At 49.3% G+C, this 9,424-nt stretch overlaps 1 protein-coding gene across 5 annotated transcripts in view, besides 5 other annotated features; it reads right to left on the reverse strand.

Moving 5' to 3' along the window:
- Window positions 1-9,424, reverse strand: part of PHF19 (PHD finger protein 19) — a 48,478-nt gene that overhangs the window by 36,274 nt on the left and 2,780 nt on the right. For 4 of the 5 annotated variants that reach the window (NM_001286840.1, XM_047423210.1, XM_011518515.3 and 1 more), the window contains exon 1: window positions 2,864-2,972. The exons of the other annotated variant lie outside the window; for it this stretch is intronic. In NM_001286840.1, the coding sequence (NP_001273769.1) occupies window positions 2,864-2,905 (42 nt within the window). In that variant the 5' untranslated portion in view covers window positions 2,906-2,972. Of the gene's footprint in view, window positions 1-2,863; window positions 2,973-9,424 lie in introns of those variants that run through there. 5 annotated transcript variants of the gene reach the window in all.
- Window positions 697-916: an enhancer, noted in NCBI's record as "active region_28901". NCBI's record gives its function as "activates an Ori minimal core promoter by ATAC-STARR-seq in GM12878 lymphoblastoid cells {active_cell/tissue: GM12878}" and the evidence as "EXISTENCE:reporter gene assay evidence [ECO:0000049][PMID:35858748]".
- Window positions 4,771-5,272: an enhancer, noted in NCBI's record as "H3K4me1 hESC enhancer chr9:123658973-123659474 (GRCh37/hg19 assembly coordinates)". NCBI's record gives its function as "activates a minimal SCP1, AML or CMV promoter by ChIP-STARR-seq in naive H9 embryonic stem cells {active_cell/tissue: H9 hESC(naive)}" and the evidence as "EXISTENCE:reporter gene assay evidence [ECO:0000049][PMID:30033119]".
- Window positions 4,771-5,728: a biological region, named in NCBI's record as "CRISPRi-validated cis-regulatory element chr9.2278". NCBI's record gives its function as "regulatory_interactions: PHF19".
- Window positions 5,020-5,728: a transcriptional cis regulatory region, noted in NCBI's record as "candidate enhancer chr9.2278 targeted for multiplex CRISPR interference". NCBI's record gives its function as "positively regulates PHF19 gene expression with high confidence in K562 cells {active_cell/tissue: K562}" and the evidence as "EXISTENCE:mutant phenotype evidence [ECO:0000015][PMID:30612741]".
- Window positions 6,698-6,777: an enhancer, noted in NCBI's record as "active region_28902". NCBI's record gives its function as "activates an Ori minimal core promoter by ATAC-STARR-seq in GM12878 lymphoblastoid cells {active_cell/tissue: GM12878}" and the evidence as "EXISTENCE:reporter gene assay evidence [ECO:0000049][PMID:35858748]".

Genomic DNA, 9,424 nt, shown 5'->3' on the forward strand with positions numbered 1-9,424 from the left:
CAGGCTGCAAACCCCTGACGCCTTGCAGAGCCAGGTAGGAAAGTTCAAAGCAAAGAAAGGCCTCCAGGGGACCATGCGGGGACTGGAAAACGACTGGCTCTAGCAAATTCTTGTCCTTTGGGAATGTGGGCCCCATGTTGTCAAGTCCCTCTTTTTTAAAAAGAGAATGCCAAAAATCTGAATTTTTAAAAAGGTGAAACTTGTTTAAAGCTGACAACTAATTCAAGCCATTTAAGTACACAGCTCAGACCAAACAAAACTTACCTGGGACCTGAATTTAGCATCTATTACCAATGTTTGCGGCAAACCCCACACGTGGATGAAGCTAGAGGGTGGTGTGCTTGCCTGGCCTTGTCTCGGCTCTCTCTTTTTTGAGCTGTTTTCCTGCTATGGGACTTGGGCCAGCACGGAGTAGGAGTGGGGAGGCGGTGGGGAGCGGGTACAGGAAACGGCCCCTGAGACTTGTGCCGTACGTGCAATTGGGAGGCTGTTTGGGGACATTGTTCCTCACGTTTAACAGTGTTCTCTTCATGCCAACTCTCTAAAAAAATACCTCTCAGGTCTCAGGGCCTAATAGAGTTTTGATTTGCCTCAGCAATGGTGTGCCAGTGTCTTATGGACACTGAATTGCGTGGGATCAAGTTTTAGCTGCTAGAAAGGTCAGAGGGCAATTTGTGGCCTGTCCCCATGGCATATAGGACCTCAAGGTCCACACTTGTATACCTGTCATTCCTGGGTGCTTCTGACCTTTCCAACTTCTGTTTTTCGTTTGATGCTTGTCACATGACCACTCCTGTAAAATTTTATGCTTGTATATCAAATAAAGAAGTTAAGTGCTTTCTGAAATAAGGCATGCTATAAATAAATAAGCCCATAAAAATAGTAAGTGCTGAAAAAAAGGGTTATTGAATACATGACTACTTGAATGATTCATTTTGTGGTTGCACACAGGGCCTTGCACAGAGCAGGTGTTCAGGAAATGAGGGCAGGATGGTAGAGTGGAAAGCAGCAGTTTAGAGATGGAAAGACAATAGCCCTGCCATTTCCTAGCGACTGGGACCTTAGCCAAGCTGACTAACCTCTCTTAGCCTCAGTTTCCTCGTCTGTACAATGGGGACAATCTCAGTGCCACCTTATCAGAGTTGCTGGGAGGATTGAGTAAGATGATGTAAAGTGCCTAGCATGTAACAGGCACTTAATAAGTGGCAGCTGTGATTATTTCAACACCAGAAATACCCTCATCTATGAATGTCATTGTTAAATGACTTAGTAAAGGCAGTAATGTGTGCAACATGAGTGAGGACGCTCTCCCTTTGCTCAAGCCAGCTAGAGTGTGACAGAGAAACCACATGGATTCACTGGGTCAATAAAATGGGGAGGCCTTCCAGAAGCTCTCGATTCCCTCAGCTCCTTGTCCCAGGTCTCTGCTCCCCTCCACACCAGGGCCCCTCTGATTATAGCAGTGATGGCAGGTGGCTCCCTGTCTGAGTGTGGCTGCCCCATCACTCCCCTCTCAGCATGCTTATGTGCTAAAGACCCTGTCCTGTCTGCCCCCGTCATCCAATCTCTAGCCCTAGCCCTGTACATTCCCTTTCTGGAAGCCTCTGGCAGTTTTCTGCAAGCTTCCCAGCCCTGACTGATCCCTCTCCTGGTCATCACTTAAGTGAGCAAATTCATCTTTGAACGGTTCCTTGACCTTTTGCTTGACAGATGCACGCATGCTTTAGAAAGCACACGTCATGCAGTGCACAGGAGGTGCACTCAGAGATGACTGAATGTAGTGTCTGGGGCTCACTCCCTCTGAGGGTTGGACACCAGGCAGACAGTCAGGAAAGCAACTCTCTAATACTGTTACGAGGGAGAAAATACATCATATAGATCCCTGCGATGGAAGGTGGTCTATGGTGAGTTGTAGGTTTCCCTAAGGGCCTAAAATTTATTCATAAGAGGCACTGTTGCATAGGGCAGTGGTTCTCAAAGTGTAGCTCCAGACCTGGAGCATCAGCCTAGACTGGGAGCTCTTATAAATGCAAAATCTCCAGCCTCACTCCAGAACTACTGACTCAAACCATGTGGGGCCCACCCAGCGCTCCCAGTTTTCACAAGCCCAGGGGTGATCCCATGTAGGGCCGGTTTTTGGACCACTGGAATGGTGGATTCATTTGGAACCTGTCACCTCATCTGTCAACAGGGACGACCCTAATCATGGCAGTGGCTTCTGGAAGGGCCACGAGATGAACGTGGGAAGCCTGCCTGGCACGTGGTTGGTGCTGAGCCACCGTCCCCTAAGACTGATCACCCACTACCTTTGGAGGGTCAGCTACCGCCTGGCGCTGTTCTCTGTCAGTCATGGAACCCAAGATAAGGGCTCCAGCAGAAAGGAGAAACAGGATGGAGGTCAGGGAAAGCTGATCTGAAACTTAGGCTAAGGCCCTGAATGCCAACCTTAGGACCTCTCTTTGCCTCTGTCTGCGGCGGAGACTCACATGTTTCCATTACTTTTCTGTAATACAACAAAGCAACGGAATCCTTGGGATTCTGGCCATCCCGGAGGTACCTCCCGGGTCCGTGGCGGGGCAAGCCCTTTTTCCACGACGCCTCCCACCCGCCTCGTCTGCTTTGGCCGCGCTCCCGCGAAGGCCGCGGCGGGAGGCCCCTGATAGGGCGCGCAGGCCCCGGCTGCCAAGAGAAGGCCGGGCGCGGGCCAGGAGCCGGCGCCTGCGAGCCAGGGCAGCCCCGCGCGTTTGGAATGCGAGCGCCGCTCAATGCGTTCCATATGGCGGCGGCGCGGGCCCACCCGGCCGCCCGCGGCTCCCCAGCCTCGCGCCCGCCCCGCGGGTTCTTGTCGATCTCCCGGACCCACCTGGGCGCTGGGATAGGGACCACGGATTACCAAGACCAGCATAGTGCAGGGCACGTAGGAGGCATCCGGAGGCTTTGATGAATGAATGCTAAATACACGACTTACTGGTAGAAGGCGTCAGAGAGTCGACTCCTTAAATAACCCAGCACACAGTCCGCCAGCCTCGGCTCCACCAAAAATCGATGGGAGCCTGCCATGGGCGAGGACCTTCTCTTGTATTTGTGTAATCCCAGTCCCAGATCCCCGACTGGTCAGGGACTTTGTTCTCCAGCTTTGCCCAAGATGACAGTTGGGCTCAGAGCTGGTGATGTGACTTGCCCAAAGTCACACAGGTAGCAAGTAGCACGTCGGGATTTGAATCCGGGTTAAAGGACTCCACGTCCAGTGCTCTTTCTATCCAAACTCCAGAGGGAGGGGACCCTGCTGACACCTTAATGTACCCTGGCCTCCCTGGAGGCTTTTCTCATTGGAATCCCAGAGTTACTAAGACTTATAAAGGATAGAACTGTCCCCTTAATCCCGGGCATGGGGGCTAATGCCAGTAATCCTAGCACTTAGGGATGGAGAGGTGGGAGGATGGATTCAGCCTGAGTTCGAGACCAGCCTGCGCAACATAGCAAGATCCCGTCTCAAAAAAATAAAAAATATGCCAGGGTGACAAAGAGAAACTCTGTCTCAAAAGAAAAAAAAAAAAAGATAAAATAAGAAAACAAAAAACAAAAACAACAAAAAACCCCAAAACAAAGCATAGAACCCCCCAGTGAGCTCTACTTTGCTCCCCTCTCCCAGGGTTTTGAGCTTTAAATTTAAGGACAAGTGATTGCCTTAAAGAGAAGCCTGTGACTTTCATGTTGCGTTTATCTAATTAGCTATAATGGCACTTTTTTTTTTGAGTCAAGTTCTCACCAAGGCTGGAGAGCAGTGATGCTATCTTGGCTCACTGCAGCCTCGACCTCCTGGGCTCAAGTGATTCTCCTGCCTCAGCCTCCCGAGTAGCTGGGACTACAGGCATGCACCACCACACCCAGCTAATTTTTGTATTTTTAGTAGAGATGGGGTTTCACCACGTTGGCCAGGCTGGTCTTGAATTCCTGACCTCAAGTGATCTGCCTGCCTCATCCTCCCAAAGTGCTGGGATTACAGATGGGAGCCACTGCGCCTGGCCAAATTATACACTTTAAGTGGGTAAATTGTATGGTGTGTGAATTGCATCTTTAAAAAGCTGTTACCAAAAAACTCCAAGCTTTGCTGCTCCTCACTAGCCATGTGACCCTGAAGAGTGACCTCACCTCTCTGAGCCTCAGTTTCTTTATCTGTAAAATGGGCAGGATAAAAGTAGCTGCCTCAGGAGGTTGTTGTGAGGTTTTAAGGGGAGGAATTATGTAACAAGTTAGCATGGTACTTGATATACAATAAAACCTTGATAAATAATAACACTAGCTAGTGTTTACTGAGGGCTCACTCGTACCTGGCACTCTGCTAAGCTCTTAGGTCCATGATCTCATTTAATCCTCTAACCACTCTCATGCCAATTGTGTAGTGGAGGAGACCGAAGCTTGGACAGATGAGGCACAGATTAGAACCCTGAAGCTTGGGTTCTGAACCATGAGACAGTGTTGGTTTTTGTGTAGTTTTATGTTTGTATGGTTCTTTTTTTTTTTTTCTTTTTTTTTTTTTTTTTTGAGACGGAGTTTCGCTCTGTCGCCCAGGCTGGAGTGCAGTGGCGCGATCTCGACTCACTGCAAGCTCCGCCTCCCGGGTTCACGCCATTCTCCTGCCTCAGCCTCCCGTGTAGCTGGGACTACAGGCACGCGCCACCACGCCCGGCTAATTTTTTTTGTATTTTTAGTAGAGACGGGGTTTCACCGTGTTAGCCAGGATGGTCTCGATCTCCTGACCTCGTGATCCGCCCGTCTCGGCCTCCCAAAGTGCTGGGATTACAGGCGTGAGCCACCGTGCCCGGCCGTTTGTATGGTTCTTTTAAATTACTGTAACCCACTTCATTTGGAGATGCTGCGTTGCACACCCTGAAATGAAGTTTCATCTACTTATCCACCTCCTTCCAAATCGATTGTTTCCCTTTCTCTTGTGTAGGATACTTTATAAGGTATAACACGCCCCCACTGAAAGGCTGCACGAGACCTGGCATCTGCCCAGAGTGTAGTGGGCAGGGCCCACAGCCCACCCCTGTGAAGTGTTAGGCCTTTGGGAAGAAGGCCCAGGCTAGATGACTTGCTTTCAAGCCCCAGCGCTGCCACCTCCTAGCTTGTAGAGACCTCCTCGCCTTGGTCTTGTCATCTGCAAATATGCGGATTACGATCATATGTACTTGCCAGGGATATTGGGAGCTTGCTCACAGGCTCTCAGAAGCCCCAGAGCCTCACAATCGAGTTCTCCTGAGACCCCCATTGGCAGGGAGATGGCAGTCCTGGGGCTGGCCCACGCCCAGCAAGCTCCCCAGCCAGCTGTGCTGAGGCGGCAAGTGCTAAAAATAACAGTCACGTCTTGCAGGGACACAGGCTGGCCCAGAGGCAGATGGGAGTCAGGGAGGAAGTGGTGGGGATGCACCACCAGGACTCTCCACCTGCAGTGTGAAGATATGTGGGTGTGTATGGGGGATGATTCCTTTACCCAGTGCAAGGCCCCTAACTATAAAGGAGCTTGGTTTCAGGTCACATGGAGTGGGTGGGGCCTGTTCCCTGTAGCCAAGGCACTGAAAAAGTCCTCTAGTGCTATCCAGTGGAAATATTACATGACCTGCATATGTAATTCTAAATTTTCTAGTAGCCATATTAGAAGAAAACAAGAAGCAGATGAAATGAATTTTAATATACTTTAACCTATCAAATTTTTTTTTATCATTTCAACATGTCATCAATATAAAAATACGAATGAAATATTAAATTCTCAGCCGGGCATGGTGGCTCACACCTGTAATCCCAGCAGCTTGGCAGGCCGAGGCAGGCGGATCACTTGAGGTCAGGATTTCGAGACCAGTCTGGCCAACGTGGTGAAACCCCATCTCTGCAAAAATACAAAAAATGAGCCGGGTGTGGTGGTGGGCCCCTGTAGTCCCAGCTACTCGGGAGGCTGAGGCAGGAGACCTACTTGAGCCTGGAAGGCAGAGGTTGCAGTGAGCTGAGGTCGCATCACTGCACTCCAGCCTGGGCAACAGAGTGAGACCCCGTCTCAAAAAAAAAAAAAAAAAAAAAGAAATATTAAATTCTCTTTCTGATACTAAGTCTTTGAAATCTGGTGTATATTTCAGACAGAGCATCTCAATTTGGATCAGCCACATTTCACGTGTTGTGTGAGTTTCAAACAATCTCTCTAAGATTGTTTGTTTTGAGACGAAGTCTTGCTCTGTCTCCCAGGCTGGAGTGCAATGGCACGATCTCAGTTCACTGCAATCTCCGCCTCCTGGGTTCAAGCGATTCTCCTGCCTTAGCCTCCCAAGTAGGTGGGACTGCAGGCACCTGCCACTACACCCAACTAATTTTTGTGTTTTTAGTAGAGATGGGGTTTTGCCATGTTGGCCAGGCTGGTCTCGAACTCCTGACCTCAGGCGATCCTCCTGCCTTGGCCTCCCAAAGTGCTGGGATTACAGGCATGAGCCACCGCCTCCGGCCCTGAGATTGTTTTTTCATCTATAAAGTCAGGAAAATAATACTTTCCTCTGAGGTCTGTTATCAGTATTGTGATACTTGCAAGAAAAGCGTATGCTCAACAAATGAGTGCTATCATCATTTTATCATGGCTATTTAAACAAATTAATGTGCAGTCTGTTCAGAACTAAAACTGGATGTCACAGCTGATAGGTGTTTTTGTACTTTTCCCACAACATTATGCTGCTTCTAGTCATGAATCAAATCACTGGACTTAAGGGTTTGAACCTGGCATAAACTGATCTTGGTTCAAGTCCTGGCTCCTGGTGCTTGTGTGACCTTGGGTGAGTGATTTTTTACCCCTTGAAGACTGGGTGTTCTCTACTATAAAACAGAGATGATAATAATCACACCTTCCTGATGGGTTTTTTATGAAAGTTTCATGGAGCGATGTAGGTAGAGCCTGCAGTGCCGTGTCTGGCACTAGCTAAGCACTCCATGATTGTTTAAGATTATCTTATTCCGGCCAGGCTCGGTGGCTCATGCCTGTAATCCCAGCACTTTGGGAGGCCAAGGCAGGTGGATTACCTGAGGTCGGGAGTTTGAGACCAGTCTGGCCAAGATGGTGAAACCCCATCTCTCCTAAAAATACAAAAATTAGCCAGGTGTGGTGGCAGGCGCCTGTAATCCCAGATACTTGGGAGTCTGAGGCAGGAGAATCTGTTGAACCCAGGAGGCAGAGGTTGCAGTGAGCCAAGATTGGACCACTGCACTCCAGCCTGGGCGACACAACGAGACTCAGTCTCAAAGAAAAAAAAAAAAAAGGCCAGGCGCAGTGGCTCACACCTGTAATCCCAGCACTTTGGGAAGCTGAGGCAAGTGGATCATGAGGTCAGGAGATCCAGACCATCCTGGCTAACATGGTGAAACCCTGTCTTTACTAAAAAGTACAGAAAATTAGGGCATGGTGGTGGGCGCCTGTAGTCCCAGCTACTCGGGAGGCTGAAGCAGGAGAATGGTGTGAACCTGGGAGGCAGAGCTTGCAGTGAGCCGAGATCACGCCACTGCACTCCAGCCTGGGCGACAGAGCAAGACTCCGTCTCAAAAAAAAAAAAAAAAGATAAAAAGATTCTGTTATTCTTACACTGGCACCCCCACAGTGGACAAAGCAAGTGGCTTCTGCAATTGGCATCCTTACGACAACATGGTGAAGTTAGAATTTTCACTCTCATGGCAGAAGTAGAAGCTGAGGCTTAGTTAGCCTCTGCTCTGGAGCTCAGTAGAGGAAAGTAGATGCTGTTTGTCTCACTGGGGCTAAGCTTTTTTGAATGCAGAGGCTGTGTTACTCTCCCCAGCCCAGGCTGTGAGCACGGTGTCCTGCCCACAAGCTTCTAAATCCATCAGCTCCTCCAGTCCCACAAGGCAAATCCCCTCCTCAGTTCCCCCAGGGTGAGTCCCAGCATGACACTGGTGCAGGACACTGCCCTTCCATGCCTCAGTTTCTCCATCTAAAAACAGTTGTGATCATTTCAGCCCTGGCGTTGGTATCAAAAGACCCGAGTGTGAATGTTGAGTTGGAATGGCCTTGAGCAACTGACTTTTCTTTTTTTTTGAGACAGAGTCTTGCTCTGTCACCCAGGCTGAAGTGCAGTGGCACAAGCTCGGCTCTCTGCAACCTCCACATCCTGGGTTCAAGTGATTCTCCTGCCTCAGCCCGCCGAGTAGCTGGGGTTACAGGCATGGGCCACCATGCCCAGTTAAGTTTTGTATTTTTGGTAGAGACAGGGTTTCGCCATGTTGGCCAGGCTGGTCTTGAACTTCTGACCTCAGGTTATCTGCCCACCTCAGCCTCCCAAAGTGCTGGGATTACAGGCGTGAGCCACCGCACCCGGCCTTGACTTCATTTTCTTAGTTTCTGTGTCTTTGCCTGGAAGAAGGGGCTAATGGTAGAATGTGATAACAGGATGTTAAGTGAAAAGGGAGAGCCCAAAACAGTAATCAATATGATTCTAATTACATTTTTAAAAGTCAATCTACATGTATGTGTTTGTATCTACTTTCTCAAAAATGCAAAGAAAATCAACCAAAATGTTCCCAGTAGTACTCTCTGGACACTGGGCTCATGGGTGATTTTTGCTTTCTTCTCTATATGACTTTTGTACTTTCCTAGTTTTTCTTTTATTTTCCTTTTTTGGACAGGGTCTTGCTCTGTCACCCAGGCTGAAGTGCAATGATGTGATCACAGCTCACTGCAGCCTCCAACTCCTGGGCTCAAGGGATCCTCCTATCTCAGCCTCTTGAGTAGCTGGGAGTGCAGGCATATGGCACCATGCCCAGCTAATTTTCAGTTTTTCTATAGAGACGGGATCTTGCTATGTTGCCCAGGCTGGTCTTAAATTCTTGGCCTCAAGCAATCCTCCTGCCTTGGCTTCCCAAGTGCTGGGATTAGAAGCGTGAGCCATTGTGCTTGGCCTAGTTTTTCTATAATGAGTATGTGTCTCTTACAATCAGGAATTAGTAATTGAAGGCATAAATAATAGTTGCCCTTACTGCCCAGGGTTGCCTGAGGATTGCCTGTGGACACCCGTGAGGTGGCCTCTGTGAGCAAGCTTGTATGGCACTGACTGCTTGCCCTGCCCTCCTGGGGTGCTGCCAGGCTGGCATCAGTAGGTACCACAGGGCTTGCCCTTTGGCTGGGGGTAGAGGGACCTACTGCCTCCATGAAGATATGATCTCATCGAAGCTGAAGATTTCACCCAGAAAGGAGAGGAAGGAAAGAAACTGGAAGCAAATACCTGATTTCTTTTTTTTGTTGTTTGAGACAGAGTCTCGCTCTGTCTCCCAGGCTGGAGTGCAGTGGTGCGACCTCAGCTCACTGCAACCTCTGCCTTCCGGGTTCAAGCAATTCTCCTGCCTCTGCCTCCCGAGTAGCTGGGACTACAGGCATGTGCCACCA

Source organism: Homo sapiens, chromosome 9, assembly GCF_000001405.40.
Source record: "Homo sapiens chromosome 9, GRCh38.p14 Primary Assembly".
Classification (NCBI taxonomy): Eukaryota; Metazoa; Chordata; class Mammalia; order Primates; family Hominidae; genus Homo; species Homo sapiens.